This window comes from Homo sapiens, chromosome 19 (assembly GCF_000001405.40).
Source record: "Homo sapiens chromosome 19, GRCh38.p14 Primary Assembly".
NCBI lineage: Eukaryota > Metazoa > Chordata > Mammalia > Primates > Hominidae > Homo > Homo sapiens.
Window position 1 is genome coordinate 55,540,390 of NC_000019.10, and position 20,498 is coordinate 55,560,887.

The 20,498-nt window shown below is 51.6% G+C and overlaps 1 protein-coding gene across 3 annotated transcripts, besides 3 other annotated features; it reads right to left on the reverse strand.

Moving 5' to 3' along the window:
• Positions 1-266: 266 nt before the first annotated feature.
• SBK3 (SH3 domain binding kinase family member 3) lies at positions 267-5,154 on the reverse strand. 3 transcript variants are annotated; one of them, NM_001199824.2, is made up of 4 exons: positions 5,110-5,154; positions 4,410-4,560; positions 3,711-3,913; positions 267-1,137 (listed from the first exon to the last, which is right to left on the reverse strand). In NM_001199824.2, exons 1-4 carry the CDS (start codon positions 5,152-5,154, stop codon positions 457-459), a joined length of 1,080 nt encoding a protein of 359 aa, NP_001186753.1. In that variant the 3' UTR covers positions 267-456. The 3 variants fall into 3 exon arrangements, with proteins under 3 accessions (NP_001186753.1, XP_011524600.1, XP_047293965.1); XM_011526298.3 differs by lacking the exon at positions 5,110-5,154 and adding an exon at positions 4,712-4,847; XM_047438009.1 differs by lacking the exon at positions 5,110-5,154 and having other exon boundaries at positions 3,711-3,969; positions 4,410-4,468.
• Positions 4,556-5,392: an enhancer, noted in NCBI's record as "H3K4me1 hESC enhancer chr19:56056311-56057147 (GRCh37/hg19 assembly coordinates)". NCBI's record gives its function as "activates a minimal SCP1, AML or CMV promoter by ChIP-STARR-seq in primed H9 embryonic stem cells {active_cell/tissue: H9 hESC(primed)}" and the evidence as "EXISTENCE:reporter gene assay evidence [ECO:0000049][PMID:30033119]".
• Positions 6,914-7,208: a silencer, noted in NCBI's record as "tiled region #14522; K562 Repressive DNase unmatched - State 5:Enh". NCBI's record gives its function as "represses a minimal TATA promoter and a strong SV40 promoter by Sharpr-MPRA in K562 cells {active_cell/tissue: K562}" and the evidence as "EXISTENCE:reporter gene assay evidence [ECO:0000049][PMID:27701403]".
• Positions 12,528-13,028: an enhancer, noted in NCBI's record as "H3K4me1 hESC enhancer chr19:56064283-56064783 (GRCh37/hg19 assembly coordinates)". NCBI's record gives its function as "activates a minimal SCP1, AML or CMV promoter by ChIP-STARR-seq in primed H9 embryonic stem cells {active_cell/tissue: H9 hESC(primed)}" and the evidence as "EXISTENCE:reporter gene assay evidence [ECO:0000049][PMID:30033119]".

The window sequence follows — 20,498 nt, forward strand, 5'->3', positions numbered from 1 at the left end:
TACTAAAAATACAAAATTAGCCGGGTGTGGTGGTGCGGGTGTAATCCCAGCTACTTGGGAGGTTGAAGCAGGAGAATCACTTGAACCTGGGAGGGGGAGGTTGCAGTGAGCTGAGATCGCGCCACTGCACTCCAGCCTGGGTCACAGACCGAGATTCTGTCTAAAAAAAATAAAAATAAAAAAGAAGACACTCTGGACGGAGGGAAGAGGAAAGGTCCTTGAGGGAGGAAGGGATGGGAGCCTGGATCCTGCGTCTGAGAGAGGAGGGGCAGGAGCTGGGCTCTTGGGTCCTCAGTTGGAAGAGGAATGCGCGTCCAAGCCCAGCGTTCCGTAGGGAGAGTGCAATGTGTTCCCTCTCTGTCCTCCCGGGTGCAGCTGTCTCTCCATCCAGGTGGCCCTGGGGGCTGGGGGAAGGGCCTCTGGCCCAGGCTCTGGCCACCTGTCTCTGTCACCTGGTCAGGGAGCTCCCCCATCTGTCCCCGTCCTCCCACCACTTTTGCTGTCATCACCCTCATCTGTCCACTCCTCCAGGCTTGAGCCTCCCTCCTCCCTGTCCTCATAGGACACGGCGCTCCCCAAAACCCCAGGTCCCTCTCTGTTCCCTTGCAACCCCCAGTCGTCCCCCAGGAAGTCCAGGACAGCCAGTGGGGGGCTCCTAGTCTCGGGATCCAGGTCCAGAAGCCCCTGGAGCAAGGCCAGGGCTGGGGGCGCAAACTGGTCCCAGGGTGGTGGTGGCTGAGGTGGCTGAGGCTTGGTGGTCACCCAGCCAGCGAAGGCCTCGAACTCAGGGTTGGGGGCCAGTGCCACGTCCCAAGGGAAACAGGCAGTGGCAGCACAGAAGAGAAGCACCCCCAGGCCCCAGGAGTCCACGGCTGGCCGCAGAGGCAGGGTGTCGGGCGGTAGCAGGAGACAGAGCTCAGGCGGTGCCGTGGGCAGAGGCACTGGTGGGGCGGGGGTCGGGCTGCCCTCTGGCCGGGTCAGACCCAGGTCTCCCAGGGCCACACGGCTGCAGACCGGGTCGAAGACCAGCACGTTGTCAGGTTTGACATCTGCGTGGACCAGCCCCCGGCTGTGGAGGAAGTCCAGAGCTCCTGCCAACTGGGCCACCACCCGCTTCACCAGCAGTTCTGGGAGGCCCTGAGGTCAAGAAGACAGGAGGAGGGTCAGAGTGTCTTGGTTTTGTCTTTTTTATGTTGTCCAGGCTGGTCTCAAACTCCTGGCCTCAAGCGATCCTCCTGCCTTGGCCTCCCAAAGTGCTGGGATTATAGGCATGAGGCACTGCACCAGTTGGTTCCTTCTGAATAATTTTTGAAAGAGGCTCTAGATTCCTAAGTCCTAAAAGTTTGACTCTTGGGGTTTGAGAATCTAGAACCCCAGACTAGTGGCTACCTCCAGTGTTCCCACCACATGCTCCCAAAGACTTTCTCTCCATCATCCTCAACCTCAACCTGCAGCCATATCTGCACTCCTGTAGACCAACTCCCAGCTGGTCTCCCAGTTTTCCCCACTGGAACCCCAGTTATAACCAGTAGCTCCTTCTTTTAGCTTCTTTCAAAGATTCTCCTAACTCAAACACTCAGGCCCACTGTGAACATTTCTTATATATCTTTTGTAAACTGACCATCCAGATCTTCTCCAGTGAGAACTCAAATTTCATTCTTAACCCTAATCTTAGTCTTGTATGAGTCTAGACCCCATCTCTAACTCAGAGGCTTTTCTAAAATTCCCCAGTTTATTTCATCAATTGATTATCTATCCGTCTAGCCAGCCAGCTGGCCAGGCAGCAATTCATCCATGAAGCCATCCATCCTTCCAACAGTATTGAACAGTGTGTCCATCCAACATCCATTCCACCAACCAGTCAGCAATCCAATAAGTTATTCTGTTATTTAATATCCAACATCCATATATTCATCCTCCCTTGCTTCCTTTCACCCATCCACTCACCATCCATTAATCATCCATCCACCAATCCTTCCGTCCACCCACCCATCCATCCATCCACTCAACCAATCCTTCCATCCACCCACCCACCCATCCACTCATCCATCCACCACTCACTCACCCACCAAACCTTTCATCCATCCATCCATCCATCCATCCATCCACCCACCAATCCTTCCTTCCATCCATCCACCCATCCGCCCACCAATCCTTTCATCCATCCATCCATCCATCCACCAATCCTTCCTTCCGTCCATCCATCCATCCGCCCACCAATCCTTTCATCCATCCGTCCATGCAGCCATCCACCCACCCATCCATCCACCAATTCTTCCATCCACCCACCCACCTATCCACTCAACCAATCCTTTCATCCACCCACCCACCTACCCATCCACTCATCCATCCATTCACTCACCCACAAAACCTTTCATCCATCCATCCACCCATCCATCCACCCACCAATCCTTCCTTCTATCGATCCATCCATCCATCCATCCATCCGTCCATCCACCCACCAATCCTTCCTTCCATCCATCCATCCACCCACCAATCCTTTCATCCATCCATCCACCCCTCCATCTACCCACCCACCCATCCATCCACCCACCCATCCATCCATCCATCCACCCATCCATCCATCCACCCACGGATCCTTCCATCCACCCACCCACCCGTCCACTCAACCAATCCTTTCATCCACCCACCCACCCACCCATCCACTCATCCATCCATCCACTCACCCACCAAACCTTTCATCCATCCATCCACTCACCTACCAAACCTTTCATCCATCCATCCATCCACCCACCAATCCTTTCATCCACCCATCCACCCACCCATCCATCCACCCACCCACCCATCCATCCATCCACCATCCATCCATCCACCCACCCATCCATCCACCCATGGATCCTTCCATCCACCCACCCACTCATCCATCCATCCATCCACTCACCCACCAATCCTTTCATCCATCCATCCATCCATCCATCCATCCACCCACCCACCCACCCATCCATCCACCCACCCATCCATCTACCAGTCCTTCCTTCCACCCATCTATTCACCCACCCATCTGTCCACTCACCCATCCTTCCATCCTTCTAATTCTCAATGAGACTCATTTCTCCACATGTACCTTCCTCATCCCCTTCCTTCTTTTATTCCTTCCATTTATCCCTAACTTTATCTCAAATCCAAAATCTATTCCTGAAACTATCCCTACCCCTAATCTCCAAACTCGAGAGACCCTAGAATATCATGGGTTCTGTCCTGACCTGGTCTCCTTTCTAGAAGAAACCCCATTATAGCCCATCTCCAACTCAGTCTATATACACATCCTCAACCGTCTCTGCTTCTCTCTGCAGCCCATTCATGCTTTTCTCCATACTCACGATGAATCTATAATCAACTCTAAACTCAACCCACCCAACTCCACCCATGCCCACACCCTAACCTCAGAGTCAACTAAAATCCCAACCCTGTCTCCCTCCCCACCCCCTTCATTGACTCCAGTCCATCCTCAATCCCACCCCCAGCTCCCTGCCTTTCCACGATTGTGTTTGGGTGATTGGATGGATTAGGGTTGAGGTCAGGCATGGAACCTCGTTGAGAATTAGAAAGGGGGAGGTCATGTGGGGGCTCAGGGTGGAGATGGATTGGGCGGGCCCTGATTTGGGGTCAGAGTTGGAGACAGAGACGGGGCTTGGGACAGAGTTGGACCTGGGATAAGCACTCCCAACCTTTGTCCCTCGTGGCCTCACCCTTTCCTGCAGCATCCCGCTGAGGTCCCCACAGGGCGCGTACTCCTGGGCGAAGGCAAAATAGCGGGGGGTCTGTAGGGGTCCTGCCAGGGTCTGCAGCAGGCCTGGGTGTGCAGAGACGCAGCGGCCCACACAGAACTCCCTCAGGAAGGTGCTTCTCAGGACCAAATCCCGACGCAGGAGCTTCAGAGCCACAGCTGGACCTGCCAGGGAGATGGGTCGGAGGGACACTCAGGCGGCTCCAGTCCTGCTGTGGGGCCTGAGGGAAGCCGTGTAAACTCTCTGAGCCTCACACTTCTCATGGGCAGCACGGGCTCCCCTGTCTGTGAAGTGTGGGTGGGAGGAGACCTTCTTTGAAGACCCTCCCTGCTCTGCCTCGGACTGCGGCGTGGGCTTGCACAGCCGCCTCACCCTCTCCGGGCCTCAGTTTCCCCTGGCATCAAGTAAGAGACACGGTGGTGACTTGGGTTCCAACTTGAGTTGCATACCTGTCCTGCTGTGGGACCGTAGGCAGTCCCTCGCCCTCTCTGGGGTGGGGCCTGTGTTTCTCAGAAGATCCCAGAGCTCTTAACTTTCAGAGTACCCCCACTGAGAAGGGTCCCCATCAGCTCCTCCTGGGAATGCCCCCTGTCTGGGTGGCTTCCGAGAATGCTTATTGTGGGGCAGTTGGGGAGGCTGCCCTTGGGTGGCTGAACTCACCCCCCTGGTGAGGCTGGGCAAGGAGCACGCGGCCGTAGGAGCCGGAGCCCAGCTTCCGGATGAGGTGGTACTGGTCCCGAAGGCTCCTCACCGGGGTCACCCTGCTGGTCGTCAGCTCCACCAGCCGTTGGAGGGCTGTGGCTGTGTCCTCCTACGGGAGAGGGGCAGGGTGAGGAGGGGGCGCGTCTGGGGTCCACTGAGAGTGGTGGGGGAGGAGGTCACGGCGCAGCCCCAGGATGGAGGGTGGGGCAGGGGACAGGGGTCACTGTCCCCAGAGAGGAGGATGAGTCACAGTGACTCACCCGGACTCGGGCCACCTGTTTTTGTGTCCTGGAGAGGTTAGGGGTCACTGCCACAGAGGCCCCGCCTGCCCCTGTCTGTGGGAGCAGGCCAGGAGCCCCCAGCCCCGAGTGGGGGTGCATCCTCAGCCCACACAGTCCCCCTGCCCACCCTGGTCTCTCTCTCCACCGTCCTCTTCCCCTGTGCATCCCGCTGTGTGTTTCTGAGTCCAATTCTCTGGGGGCCTTGGTCTCGCTGTGTGTCCTTGGATCTCTGTCATCCTCTCTCCCTGGGTCTGGGTCTCTGAGGTCTTTGCGTTTCCCTGTTTTCTGTTTCTCTTCCTCTCTCTCCCCGTGTTGCCTCCTGCCTCTCTCTCCTTCTTTTCTCTCTCTGTCTTCCTCCCCTGGCTCCCGTCTCTCACCTCTGGGTCCCCATCCTCAGGGGTCTCGGAGGCCCTGCGCTCCATCTCAGGGCTTCCTGATGTGGGGTGGCCCTTGGGCGGGACCCCCCCGTCAGGGCTCCCCAGAAAGCAACCAGCCCCCTGCACCCCACAGGTTCTCGCTGCGCAGAGCCAAGGGATGGAAGCTCGTCTGCAAGGTCAGCCTCAGTCGCCCCTTGTCTGTCCGGCTCTGTCTAGCTGGAGGAGTGTCTCTGCCTCTCTGTGCCCTCCTGCCACCCTCTGGGTGTATTCCCTGCTGTGCTTCCCAGGTGATAGCCCTTACTCCCCACACCCTCTCTTCCCCTCTCTTTAGCCAACCCCAGTCTCTCCTTCCTTCTACAGGAACACCTTTCTGTCAGCCTCTCTCTTGCTCCGTCTATCCTCTCTCTTTGTGCGTCTTTGTCTCCTTCTCTCCCCGTCTCTCTCTCTCCACCCTCCCTGTCTCTGTCTCGCACTTGGGTCTCTGGGGTGGGACTCCCCCTCCCTGTCCCGTCTCTGTGGGTCGCCGGCCCCTCTCCCCTGTCCGCACACTGTCTCCACTCTTTCTCCACCAACTCTGGGGGTGTCTCCACGCTCTGCTCCCTGCCTGCTCCCCTCTCTCTGTCTGTCTGTTTCCCGTCTCTCCCGGCCCCTCTGGGCATCTCCGTCCGCTCTCCCCAGTGTCTCTGCGTCTCTCTCCTCCTCTTTGTTCCTGACTCTCTCTCAAAGCCTTTGTCCCTCCCTTTCTCTGGGCCTGGGACAGGGGTGTGTGTGACAGCTCAGAGACAGAGACATCCTGTCCCCCCACACCCCTCCCTCACCCCCTCTGACCGCTGCCCCCTCCCTCTCCCTTCCAAACTTAGACCAGCTTGGACTCTGGGCTCCAGTCCCAGGACAGACGGGACAAAACATATTGTGAACCCCCAACAAGGCCCAGGCCTGAGGGCAGAGGAAAGGGTGGGACAGACCCCTCCACACACCTGAGCTGGGATGACTGGCCCAGAGCTGAGCACCTCTGTCTTGCCCCAGAGGCCAGGAGCGCTGGTGTCCAGGGACCAGGGAACAGTTCCCAAAGCCCTCCTCCTTCACACCAGGAGTGCTGGCCCCAGCTCCTCCTCCCTCACACCCAGGAGTCCAGGTCCCCAGTTCCTCCATCCTCAGACCCAGGAGTCTAGGCCCCAAGCCCCACCTCCCTCAGACCCAAGAGTCCAGGCCTCCAGCTCCTCCTCCCTCAGATCCAGGAGTCTAGGCCCCCAGCCCCTCCTCCCTCAGACCCAGGAGTCCAGGACCCCAGCCCTTCCTCCCTCAGACCCAGGAGTCCAGGCCTCCAGCCCCTCCTCCCTCACACCCAGGAGTCCAGGTCCCCAGTTCCTCCATCCTCAGACCCAGGAGTCCAGGCCCCAGCCCCTCCTCCCTCAGACCCAGGAGTCCAGGTCTCCAGCACCTCCTCCCTCACACCCAGGAGTCCAGGTCCCCAGTTTCTCCACCCTCAGACCCAGGAGTCCAGACTCCAGCTCCTCCTCCCTCAGACCCAGGAGTCCAGGCCCCAGCCCCTCCTCCCTCAGACCCAGGAGTCCAGGCTCCCAGCCCCTTCTCCCTCAGACCCAGGAGTACAGACTCCCAGCCTCTCCTTCCTCAGACCCAGGTCCCCAGCCCCTCCTCCCTCAGACCCAGGAGTCCAGGCCCAGCCCCTCCTCCTGCAGGACTCAGGAGCTGAAGTAGCTGTGGGAAGCGCCAGGGACAGAGGTGCTCTCATGTTCTCAGCACCTGTTCCGCGCCTAGCCCTGTGCGGGGCTTTACACTGGATCCTCCCAGCTGCCCAAAGGGTCAGTATTTATCCCCAGTTTACGGAGCAGGAAACTGAGGTTCCGAGAAACGATCGTGTTACACAAGGTCAGAAGGGGAGCGGGCCCCGGGCCAGGCCTGTGTGACTCAGAGGCCTGCTGCCTGCCCCACTCGTGTTTCCACTACTACTACAGCCCTGCTATTAATAAAGACACAGCAACGGCAGCGACGCGTAGGCGCTGGAAGGATCTGCAGGAAACAGGCTGTGGCGCTGGCCTCTGGGGAGCTGGAAGGGACCCAAGGAGGGGCAGAGGTAGAACTTCCTTTGCTGTTCGGAGGTTAGATTGGGGAAAGTCGCAAACCTACAGAAAAGTAGAAAAAGTGCTGTCCGTGCCTGTAGTCCCAGCTACTGGGCAGGCTGAGGCAGGAGAATCGCTTGAACCCAGGGAGGCGGAGGTTGTGGTGAGCCGAGATCGCACCACTGCACTCCAGCCTGGGCAACAGAGCGGGACTCCGTCTCAAAAACAAACAACAAACAAACAAACAAATAATAACAACAAAACAAAAACAAACAAACAAAAAAGTGCTGTCATGAACACCCATTGGCTAAACTTCACAGATGTGGCCACTTGGCCATACTTTCTTGATCTTTATTTCTTTGTCGGCGGGGGCATACAAACTAGTTTCAAGTAAATGATAAATATTGAAGTCTTTTGGAAGTGGAAATGCTGAGCTGCCTGGTGTGTTTGCTTTAAAATCATCTGGCCGGCTGGGCGCGGTGACTCACGCCTCTAATCCCAGCACTTTGGGAGGCCGAGGCGGGCGGATCACCTGAGGTCGGGAGTTCGAGACTAGCCTGAACAACATGGAGAAACCCCGTCTCTACTAAAAATACAAAATTAGCTGGGCATGGTGGTGTATGCTTGTAATCCCAGCTACTTGGGAGGTTGAGGCAGGAGAATCACTTGAACCCGGGAGGCGGAGGTTGCGGTGAGCCAAGATGGCACGATTGCACTCCAGCCTGGGTAACAAGAGCAAAACTCTATCTCAAAAACAAACAAACAAAAAAGTCTGGCAAAAGAAAAGAAAATGTGTGTGTGTGTGTGTGTGTGTGTGTGTGTATGGGGGGGTGGTGGGTGGGTGGTGAGACAAGTGAGAGGGAAGGGACTCATTTTATTCCTCTGTTTCTGGTTATGCTGGAAATTTTCCTTCATGAAAAGCTACAAGTTATAAACTAAACTACAGGCATTGTGATGAATTGTGCCCAAACATTTGAGAGTACCTATCTGTAAAAGTAAGGAAAATTTCTAGCTCAGCTACAGTAAAATTGTCATAATGACTTTTTTAACAAAATTGAAGATGAGGCCAGGTGTGATGGCTCACGCTTGTAATCCCAGCACTTTGGGAGGCTGAGGCGGGCAAATTGCCTGAGGTCGGGAGTTCGAGACCAGCCTGGCCAACATGGTGAAACCCCATCTCTACTACAGATACAAAAATTACCCAGTCGTGGTGGCGTGTGTCTGTAATCCCAGCTACTCAAGAGGCTGAGGCAGAAGAATCGCTTGAACCCGGGAGGCAGAGGTTGCAGGGAGCCGAGATGGCGCCACTGCACCCCAGCCTGGGCGACAGAGCGAGAGTCTGTCTCAAAAAAATAAAATTAAATTAAATAAAAAATAAAAAATTTAAGATAGGGTCTTGCTGTGTTGCCCAGGCTGGTCTCAAACTCCTAGGCTCAAGTGATCTTCCTACCTCGGTCTACCAAAGTGCTGAGAATACAGGTGTGAGCCACAGTATCCAGCCCAACAATTTCTCGAAATCAGATAATAACAAGTCTGTCTTCAGTTTCTCACATTTATTTTTTTTTAAATGCCTTGGCTGGGCGCGGTGGCTCATGCCTATAATCCCAGCACTTTGGGAGGCCGAGGCAGGTGGATCACCTGAGGTCAAGAATTCGAGACCGGCCTGACCAACAAGGTGAAACCCCCCTCTCTACTAAAAATACAAAAATTAGCTGGGTATGGTGGCAGGTGCCTGTAATCCCAGCTACTCGGGAGGCTGAGGCAGGAGAATTGCTTGAACCTGGGAGGTAGAGGTTGCAGTGAGCCAAGATGGACCACTGAACTCCAGCCTGGCGGCAGAGTAAGACTCTGTCTCAAAAAAAAAAAAAAAAAAAAAAAAAAAGAAAAAAAAATGCCTTATTTGCTTTATGAGTCAGGAATCAACGTCAACATCCCGTATGACTTTCAGGGAACTTTTTACCACTGTGCCTTTTACATTATTTGAATTTTTCCTGTGAGTATGTGTTATTCAAAAAATTTTAATGAAATAATACAGTGATGATGATACAGTAATATAGTAACACTCGGTGCTTACTTGGTGCCAGGCCCTGGTCACGCTCTCTCGGTCTCTCTCTCTTTTTCACTTAAGACTTTGTGGAGTCCTCCCAACAAGCCCTGGGTCGGTAGAATGATGGTTTCCAATTTCCTGATGGGGACAGTGAGGCATGAAGCAGCAGAGTCATGGGCCACAGAGCCGCAGCCAGGGAGAGGCAGAGCTGGGATGCCTTGAGATCTGGTGACTCCAGGCTCCTCTGTGCCCCCTGCCCACGCAGCTCCCGTGAGGCCGACCTCAGGTGCCCGGCCCGGCTCGAGCTGAGCTCCTCCACTGGAGACCCGGGGCTGGCTGTGCGCCGACAGGCAAGCGCATCTGCTACCCTAGAGCCGGCCACCTGGGTCCCCCGGGAGGAGAGTGAGAGGGGACGCTGCGGGCCTCCAGCCCTCCCCCAGACGCTCGCTGGTGATCCGAAGAGCTTTGCACCTCCCCATTTAGTAACGCCGCTCTGCGGGGTCACCCGGAGTGACCTCGGCACGCAGGTGTGGTGGGGGAGGTTGCAGTCCTGCAGCCCCAGGGTACACACACACCCCTCATTAAAGCTGGGCGGTGTGCCTCTCTCCTCCCCTCCGTCCTGCCCACCAGCCTCCGAGGCCTCCTTTTGTGACCGTTTCCTGGCTTTGTCCCCTCCTGGCCGAACGAGGGCACACAAGTTAAGTGTGTTAACAACAACAGCAATAATAATAGTGTCCAACACTCATACTGTACTCGGTGCTGTGGCTTGTGTTTTCATCTATTATTGTCATTGTTGCGAAGAGTTTTTGCAGGGATGGGGTCTCACTATGCGGCCTCTACCCTCTCACTATGTTGGAATTCGAGGCTGGTCTTGAATTCCCGGGATGCCTCTGCGCTTCAGTTTTCTCCTGTCTGAAATGCAGGTCATCCCCAGCTCCTACCCACAGCGCTGTTGATAAGAAAATTGATATGTATAATGCATATACTAATGTACATTATAATATTATATCTAAGATAATTATTTTAGATATGATATATACTATCCTATATTATATATTAAGTGATATATGTAGTATATATCTTTTGTATAATATATATACTTATATGTTATTTTTAAAGTAAATTCAATTAAGAAAATATATACTGAAAGAACATATAAAAATTAATTTACACTTCAAAGATTGTTCAGTTGACAATGTAACCCACCCACCATCACACTCCATCCTTGGGCCAAAAAAGGTGAAAAGAAAAACAGAAGGAAAAAAGTGTTAACATTAAACTGATTTGCTTTATCTGGAACGAGTTAGATTATAAACTAGTAGACCAAAATCTCAGCCTTTAATAGTCATCCTGATGAGTTAACCAACCTTCGCAGGAAAGGTGGAAATGTTTTCACTCCTGATTTTTATTTTTTTATTGTTGTTTGTTTGTTTGTTTGTTTTAGACGGATTCTCACTTTGTCACCCAGGCTGGAGTGCAGTGGCCCGATCTCGGCTCACTGCAACCTCCACCTCCCGGGTTCAAGTAATTCTCCTGCCTCAGCTTCCTGAGTAAAGTGCTGATTACAGGTGTGAACCACCGCACCCAGCCCACTCCTGTTTTTTTTTTATTTTGTTTTTAAGACAGGGTCTCACTCTGACATGCAGGCTGGAGTGCAATGACACAGTCACGGCTCACTGCAGCCTTGACTTCCTGGGTTCAAGAGATCCTCCCACCTCAGCCTTCCAAGTAGCTGGGATCACAGGTGCATGCCACTGGGCTGACTACCTTTTAAGTTTTTTGTAGAGATGGGATCTCACTATGTTGCCCAGGTTGGTCTCAAACTTCTCGCCTCAAGCTATCCTCTTGGCCTCGGCCTCCCAACGTGCTGGGTGGGATTACAGGTGTGAGCCATCTAGCCCTTTGCTCCTGTTTTAAGACAGTAATGCTATTTTCTTTCTATTGCACCATGTATACGTTGAACAAATATTGTTAAATAAAAGAATGGATGAAAACACAAGCCATACCACCAAGCATAGTGAATGCTTAACAATTATTATTATTGTTGTTGACAAATGCGCTTACAGCAGTTACTATGGGCCAGGTACTGTTCTGGGGCTTTGTATACCCTTGCAGTAATCTCATTAAATCCTTATGTTCTACCTATGACATAGGAACTATTATTTCCCGAGGCACAGACAGGCCACACGTGCTAAGTCTTATCGCCGTCTCTGACCTGCTCACACGCAGCACAAAACCTTGCTGGGATTCTCTGTGACATGAAATATTTCACGCATATCCCCCAAATATAATGAGTATTCATGTCTCCACCATTCTGTTTAAGAAATATAATTCTCAGCCGGGCGCGGTGGCTACGCCTGTAATCCCAGCACTTTGGGAGGCCGAGGCAGGTGGATCACGAGGTCAGGAGATCAAGACCATCCTGGCTAACCCGGTGAAACCCTGTCTCTACTAAAAATACAAAAAATTAGCTGGGTGTGGTGGCGAGCACCTGTGGTCCCAGCTACTCAGGAGGCTGAGGCAGGAGAACCGCTTGAACCTGGGAGGCGGAAGTTGCGGTGAGCCGAGATGGCGCCAGGGCTCTCCAGCCTGGGTGGCAGAGGGAGACTCTGTCTCAAAAAAAAAAAAAGAATTCTCACTGCAAAAAAAAAAAAAGAAAAAAAGCATGTGAGGTAATGCATATGTTAATTATACAGCTTGATGTAGCTATTTTCCAATCTGTGTGTGTATGTGTATATCTATATAAACATCATGTGAGCCAGACATGGTGGGACACGTCTAGTCTAGGAGGCTGTCATGTCATGTCTGTCTAGGAGGCTGAGGCATTTCTCGAGGCCAGGAATTCAAGAGCTGGAGATGCACTGGTGAAAAACACGCATGGCACTCCAGCCTGGGCAACGTGGCGGGACCCTGTCTTTAAAAACAATAGAAAAATCATGTTGTACACAACAATTGTATACATTCTTTATTTGTCAAGGTGGAACAAAAAAAAAATAATAAGAGCGGAAAGAACAACAACAATAACAAAAGAGTGCTTTTGCAGGTGCGCCCAGAGCTGTGAAAAACGTGAGTTGCCAATGCACACATCCCCAGCTGAGGCTGAAGAAAGCGATGCTCCGCCTTTTCGTGTCAGCCGCTCCTACAAACAAGCGTCTCTTTTTTTTATGTTGGTGCTGCGATTTTCACATTTTTGTGGTTTTTGTTGGTGATTCTGCAGGTTTGTGCTTTTTGTTGGTGATTCTACACTTCAGCTCCCACGCACAGCGCTGAACAGGGTCCCCTTCAGTGCTTAGGAATGTTCTGCAGTGCCTCACATAGAAAATCTGGCCTGGCACGGGGGCTCATGCTTGTAATCCCAGCACTTTGGGAGGCCGAGGCAGGCAGAGCACTTGAGGTCAGGCATTTGAGACCAGCCTGGCCAACATGATGAAACCCCATCTCTACTAAAAATACAAAAATTAGCTGGGCATGGTGGTGCACGACTGTAATCCCAGCTACTCGGGAGGCTGAGGCAGGAGAATTGCCGGAACCCAGGAGGCAGAGGTTGCAGTGAGCCAGGATCGTGCTACTGCACTCCAGCCTGGGCGACAGAGCGAGACTCCGTGAGAAAGAAAGAAAAGAAAGAAAGAAGGAAGGAGGGAGGGAGGGAGGGAGAGAGAGAGGGAAAGAAAGAAAAAGAAAGAAAGAAAGAGTCCATGTGTGTCAGATGAACTTCATTCAGGTATGAGCTGTACTCCTGCTGGCGGTGAGTTCAATGACAATGAATCAACAACGTGTCTGTAAAAGATGTCTTTAAACAGAAAGGCAAAGTCAGTGAGGTATTGATTGTTTGATGAAGATGTTGTAACCAGCGGCCTGCAGGAATCTAACCCTGTATTTCCCCCAGTGGCAATGGCTTGGTATTTGCCAGTTTGGTGTTCTCAGCAACTTCAAGGAAGATAGCCACCATGAATAAGGAGAATCGAGTGTGTCGAGTGAAATGAAACATATCATCAGGACTATTTTCACCTTGTTTGCATTTACTTTTGTAAAAATAGAAACACACAGTTTGGCAGACAACATCGGGGATTACAGATGCCACCGAATCAGCTATGGATCTCTCTAGAAGTCTGCAGGTCACAGGATGAGAGTTATTACATTCTCCATCCCCTGAAGCTGTTCCCCAGACCTCACCCTCTCCTGTGTGGATCACCATCCCAGCTTATCAGCTTCTTCCTGGCCTCCCCTCTCGCCTCTGGACTGCCCCGTCTGACACACAAAGGTTCTCCCTCCTTCCCTCCCACCCCTCCCTCCTCCTTCCCTCCTTTCTTTCTCTTTCTCTTTTCTTTTCCTTTTCTTTCTTTTCTTTCTTTCTCTTTCTCTTTCTTTCTTTTCCTTCCTTCTTCCCTTTCTTCCTTTCTGTCTTTCTTCTTTCTTTCTCTCTCTCTTTCTCCTTTCCTGTCCTCCTTCCTTCCCTCCCTCCCTCCCTTCCTTCCGTCTTTCCGTCCCTCCCTTCCCTTTCTTTTTTGAGGCAGGGTCTCACTCCATCACCCAGGTTGGAATGCAGTGGTGCAATCACAGCTCTCTGCAGCCTTGACCTCCCATACTTAAGTGATCCTCTTGCCTCAGCCTCCCAAGTAACTGGGACTACAGGTGTGCACCATCCTCCCCAGCTAATTTTAGAATTTTCTATAGATACAGGCTCTCACTATGTTGCCCAGGCTAGTTTCAAATTCCTGGATTCAAGTGATCCTCCTGCCTCAGCTTCCAAAAATTCTGGTATTACAGGCATGAGCCACCACACCGGCCATCATTCTAACACTCACTTCTGGCCCAGGCCCTCTCTTCCTCAGTAGCCTCCCATGGCTCCCTATTGCTCTTGGGATAGAGTTCACACTCCCCCGCCTGGCCTCCGAGCCCTTCTGGAGCTGCACCTGTTGCAACTTATTTCCACCCGGCTCATCTCACCCAACACCCAGGCAATGGAAGAACTCGGAATGTCCGAGCACACTGGACTCTCTCTCTGTTTCTCAGGAAACGTGTGTGGAATGAGGAGACGGATGGATGGCCGAACATGGCAGGTTTGTAATGGCTTCAGAAACCCCATGTGATTAATAATTATAGCCAGCATTTACTGAACATATTACCAGCCCCAGTGCTAATCCTCCCAGCACCCTGGGGAGGTGGCCCTGTTATTAGCTCGGCTTCATCATTGAGGAAAGTGAGACTCACAAAGACTAAGCCTCCTGCCCGGTGTCTCACTATAGATCAGCAGCAGGAGGGACTCAAACGCCAATCAACCCGGCAGTGCACACCCTCGGCCTCTCTGCTATTCGTAGATGTTTGTGGGCCAGGAGCCAGGGGCAGGTGTAGGCCAAGGTTGCTGACTTCTCTTCTTTCCATTCAAACACAACACACATTTCCTGGGGACTTTGTATGCAGAGCCCTGAGCTGAGGCTGGGTGCTGGGAGACCACAGACAGACTCTGTCCCTGCTCCGGAGGTGCCCAGAAGGTTCTGTGAACCAGGATACAGCCGCCAAGAAGCAAGGTGTGCCTCTTCCAAAGGCGACCAAGAGGGGCCTAGAAGTGGCTCTGAGCCAACCTGACAGGAAAGTTGGCAGGTGAGGAAGGGGTTCAGAGACCTGGCGGATAAGTAAATTAACAGTAGCAAGAGAGGCCAGGCCAGTGGTGACTGGGATTCAAATTAAAACAAGATCGATTAAATAATGATTGAGGGCCAGGTGTGGTGGCTCATGCCTGTCATCCCAGCACTTTGGGAGGCTGAGGCGGGTGGATCACCTGAGGTCAGGAGTTCTAGATCAGTCTGGCCAATATGGCGAAAACCTGTCTCTACTAAAGATACAAAAACTATCCGGGCGTGCTGGTACGCACCTGAAGTCCCAGCTACTCGGGAGGCTGAGGCAGGAGAATCGCTTGAAACCAGGAGGCAGAGGTTGCAGTGAGCCGAGATCGTGCCACTGCACTCCAGCATGGGCAACAGAGCGAGCCGCCGTCTCAAAATAAATAAATTAATTTAATTTAATTAACAATAATAAATAACAATGGATACCTACCTGCTACCACGCCGGACTCAAGCGTTGCTGCAGCATCTGGGACACACCTCAAAGCGAAGCCGACTCCAGCCCTCGGGAGGATCTGCAGAGACAGGAAGCAGATCTGCGCCTGCCTAGGACATGGGGGGCAGGAGGCAAGTACTGGGGGGCTATGGCTAAGGGGTGCAATGTTTCTTTTGGGGGTGATGAAAAACGTTTTAAAATTGTGTTAGGCCGGGCGCAGTGGCTCACGCCTGTAATCCCAGAGCTTTGGCGGGTCGAAGTGGGCGGATCACAAGGTCAGGAGTTCGAGACCAGCCTGTCCAACACGGTAAAACCCCGTCTCTACTAAAACTACATAAAATTAGCTGGGTGTGGTGGTGGGCGCCTGTAATCCCAGCTACTTGGGAAGCTGAGGCAGGAGAATCGCTTGAACCCGGGAGGCGGAGGTTGCAGTGAGCCGAGACTGTGCCACAGCATTCCAGCCTGGGCAACAGAGCGAGACTCCATCTCAAAAAAAAAAAAAAAACAAAAAGAAAACAAAAATTAGCCAGGCGTGGCCGTGCACACCTGTAATCCCAGCTACTCAGGAGGCTGAGGCGGGAAAAACGCTTGAACCTGGGAAGCGGAGGTTGCAGTGTGCCAAGATCACACCAGTGAACTCCAGCCGGGGCAACATAGTAAGACCCTGTCCAAAAAAAAAAGATTGTGTTGATGTTTGCACAAACTCTAGGACTATACCAGAAACCATTGATTTGTCTACTTTACACGGTGAATTTTATGGCATATGAATTACATCTCAATAATGCCAGTAAAAAAAATTTGGCCTATAGCCAGGCATGGTGGCCAGTGCCTGTAATCCCAGATACTCGAGAGACTGAGGCAGGAGAATCACTTGAGACCAGGAGTTGGAGGCTGCAGTGAGCCCAGACTGTGCCACTGCACTCCAGCCTGGGCAACACAGAGAAACTCTGTCTCAAAAAAAAAAAAAAAAAAATTGGAACCTGCATTTTAGTGAGTGAGGGACCAGAGCAAACACAGCCTGTGAGATGCCCAGATCATTTTAAATTTTATTTATCTTTTTGAAGCAGGATCTCACTCTGTCACCCAGGCTGGAGTGCGGTGGCATGATCAGAGCTCACTGCAGCCCTGACCTCCCAGGCTTAAGTGATCTTCCTACCTCAGCCTCCTGAGTAGCTGGGACTACACATACATGCCACCATGCTCGGCTGATTTTTTTTTTGGTAAAGACAGGCGAACTCTCACTGTGTTGCCCAGGCTGGTCTTGACCTCCTGTGCTCAAGCGATCCTCCTGCCTTGGCCTCGCAAAGTGTGCTGGGATTACAGGTGTGAGCTACCACATCAGGCCTATTTTTAACTTTTAACACCCCCTCCTGTATAGAAGAACTATTTTCAATAACCATCATGTAATAATCACCTGCATCTTTTTCTTGACTGCTGGGGGGGTTTCTTCCTTTTTTTTTTTTTAATTAATAGACTTTATTTTTTAGAGCAGTTTTAGGTTCACAGCAATATTGAGCAGAAGGTACAAAGATCTTTTTTTTGAGACAGAGTCTCGCTCTGTCACCCAGTCTGGAGTGCAATGGCGCGATCTCGGCTCACTGCAGCCTCCATCTCCCCGGTTCAAGTGATTCTTGTGCCTCAGCCTCCCGAGTAGCTGGGATTAGAGGCATGTGCCACCATGCCTGGCTAATTTTTGTATTTTTAGTAGAGACGGGGTTTTGTCATGTTGGCCAGGCTAGTCTCGACCTCCTGACCTCAGGTGATCTGCCTACCTCAGCCTCCCAATGTGCTGGAATTACACGCATGAGCCACCGTGCCCGGCCAGAAGGTACAAAGTTCTTCTATACTCCCTGCCCTGCCCCCACTGCCTCCCCCACTATCAACATCCCCACCAGGGTGGTGCATGGGACACACCATCATCACCCACAGTCCACAGTGTACATGAGGGCTCGCTCCCGGTTCATGACGTTGTATGTTCTGTGGCTTTAGACGAATGTATAATGACATGTCCCCACCACTATAGTATCAGACAGAGTATCATAGTTTCACTGCCCTAAATATCCCCTGGGCTGCACCTCCTCACCCCTCTCTCCCTCCTAGCTCCTGGCAACCACCGATCTTTTTCCTGTCTCTGTAGTTTCCTCTTTTCCAGAACCTCGTATTGTTGGAATCAAACAGTAAGCAGCCTTTTCAGATTAGCTTCTTTCACTTAGAAACATGCGTTTAAGTTCTCGCCATGTCTTTTTATGGCTTGGTAGCTCTTTTTTTTTTCTTTCAGTAAAACCTTTCATTGTCATCTCATTTCTTTTTATTGCTTAATAATATTCCATTGTATGGATGGACCACGGCTTATCCATTCACATATTGAAGGACATCTTGGTTGCTTTCTTTCTTTTTTTTTCTTTTTGAGACGGAGTCTCACTCTGTCGCCCAGACTGAAGTGCAGTGGTGCGATCTCAGCTCACTGCAACCTCCACCTCCCAGATTCAAGCGATTCTCCTGCCTCCCGAGTAGCTGGGATTACAGCCATGCACCGCTATGCCCGGCTGATTTTTGTATTTTTAGTAGAGATGGAGTTTCACCAGGTTGGCCAGGCTGGTCTCAAATTCCTGACCTCAGGTGATCTGCCCGCCTTGGCCTCCCAAAGTGCTGGGATTACAGGCGTGAGCCACGGCGCCCAGTCGGTTACTTTCAAGTTTTAGCAATTATGAATAAAGTCGCTGTAGACATTCACATGTGGGTTTTTGTGTGGACATAGGTTTTCAACTCATTTGAGTAAATACCAATAAGAGTGATTGCTGAATTCTGGTTTATTTATTTATGTATTTTTTTTTGACATGGAGTCTTGCTCTGTCACCCAGGCTGGAGTGCAGTGGCGCGGTCTCAGGTCACTGCAGCCTCTGCCTCCTGGATTCAAGCAATTCTCCTGCCTCAGCCTCTAGAGTAGCTGGGATTGCAGCACATGCCACCACACCCGGCTAACTTCTGTATTTTTAGTAGAGGCGGTTTTGCCATGTTGGCCAGGCTGGTCTCCAACTCTCGACCTCAGGTGATCTGCCCACCTTGGCCTCCCAAAGTGCTGGGATTACAGGCGTGAGCCACTGTGCCCAGCCTGCATTGTGTTTTAAGAATATGTTTAGTTTCGGCCGGGTGCAGTGGCTCACGCCTGTAATCCCAGCACTTTGGGAGGCCGAGGCGGGTGGATCACCTGAGGTCAGGAGTTCGAGACCAGCCTGACCAACATGGAGAAACCCCGTCTCTACTAAAAATAGAAAAAATTAGCCAGGCGTGGTGGCGCATGCCTGTAATCCCAGCTACTAGGGAGGCTGAGGCAGGAGAATCGCTTGAGCCCAGGAGGCAGAGGTTGTGGTGAGCTGAGGTCGCACCATTGCACTGCAGCCTGGGCGACAAGAGTAAGACTCCATCTCAAAAATAATAATATATATATATAATTTTTGTATATTATATATAATTTTTGTATATTATATATATGTATAGTGTTTTTGAGGGAGACATATTTAATCATTGACCTTGTTTACAATTGCTGCACTTGGTGACACTGAAAAGCAGACCAAGCTGGGCACAGCGGCTCACACCTGTAATCCCAGCACTTTGGGAGGCTAAGACAAGAGGATCACTTGAGCCCAGGAGTTCGAGACCAGCCTGGGCAATATAGTGAGTACCCATCTCTATGAAAAAAAACATCGTAATAAAATTTAGAAATTAGAAAGAAAAGCAGACCAAACTTTTGGTTGGTCATTTTATTGTTTTCACCTCCTCTATAGCCAAAACCTCCCTTATTGCCTGCGTCTGGAGCAGGCCAGTTCTGCTACCTGTCCACCACCTGGTAAGCCCCTATAGGGAGACCCCATTCACACCCATCAGAGAGGAAGAAATTGGGAAGTGGTTGAGGACATGGGGAAGCAGGGAGCTGGAGGCATTGCTGGTCAAGGGAGGGGGGTAGACTGGTGGGGGAGATGGAGGCTGTAGCGGGGAAATGGGTCTGAGGCGTCCTCTTCTGGGTGTACACCCCTGAGAGATCTTCCCACATGTCCTTTGCCACATCATGTGTGTGATGGGAACGGAAGGCAGTCGGGAAGCGCCAGACAGCTTCTGTTTGTCTATCTAAGTCTCCTCTCTGTTGGGGTGACACCCTCTGCCTGGAAGGCATGCAGCCAACTGGACTCCACCTGGCTTCTCTTTGGGTTCAGTCAACGGGAGACTTCAGCAGATGATGCGAAGGTGTGAGGACAGGTGCTATGCTGTCCAGCTCTCTCTCCACTGGGCTGCAGTGTGGCGGGGCGAGGGCTAATGATGGCCATGCTATGAGTCAGCTGGTGCCATCCACGCCACTCTCTGCAACTGAAATTTGAAAATTATAAGTAATTCTAAGAAAACAAAGATATATCATCACATTGAGTGATGATGGAGACTAGACACGTGGAGAAATTGCAAAGGATATGCCTTTGACAAATGTCAGCCTTTATTTATTTATTTATTTATTTGAGACAGGGTCTTGCTCTGTTGCTCAGGCAGGAGTACAGTGGTGCAATTAGAGCTCACTGCAGCTTCGACCTCGGGTGTTCAAGTAATCCTCCCACCTCAGCCTCCCGTGTAGCTGGGACTACAGGTGCATTCCACCAACAACCACACCTACCTACCTTCCTTCCTTCCTTCCTTCCTTCCTCTCTCTCTCTCTCTCTTTCTTTCTTTCTTTCTTTCTCTTTCTTGTTTTAGAGATGGCGTCTCACTATGTTGCTCAGGCTGGTCTCAAACTTCTGGCCTCAAGCAATCCTCCTGCCTTTTCCTTGCAAAATGCTGGTATTACAGGCATGAGCCACCACACCTGACTGCCAGTTATTATTATTTAACAGTGAAACAACAATAGTGGGGTGGCTAAAAGGATAAACTCTAGAGCCAGGCTATCTGGCTTTACCCCCCATCCCTGCCACTTACTGGCCTTGGGCAAACATCTCTGCCTCTCTGTGCCTCCATTTCCTCATCTGTAAAATGGGGATAATAACAGTATATATCACCTAGGCTTGTTATAGAAATTAAATGGGTTAATACATGTGGATTAGCTTCTACTGCTGAAGTTACCTTCAAAACGTAGCTGCTCAAAACTACACCCATTTCTCATCATTTCTCTGGGTTAGGAGGCTGGACCCAGCTCAGCCAGGTCCTCTGTTTCAGGGACTCTCATA

What these genes read in the sequence shown, in the direction of transcription:
- SBK3 (XM_011526298.3), bottom strand. Translation starts at nt 4,831, where the DNA reads ATGCACCCCCACTCGGGGCTGGGGGCTCCTGGCCTGCTCCCACAGACA. An exon ending in TGCCCAGCCTCACCAGGGGG is followed by an intron (nt 3,914 to 4,409) that starts GTGAGTTCAGCC and finishes TCTCCCTGGCAG; the next exon opens with GTCCAGCTGTGGCTCTGAAG. An exon ending in GCGGGATGCTGCAGGAAAGG is followed by an intron (nt 1,138 to 3,710) that starts GTGAGGCCACGA and finishes TCTTGACCTCAG; the next exon opens with GGCCTCCCAGAACTGCTGGT.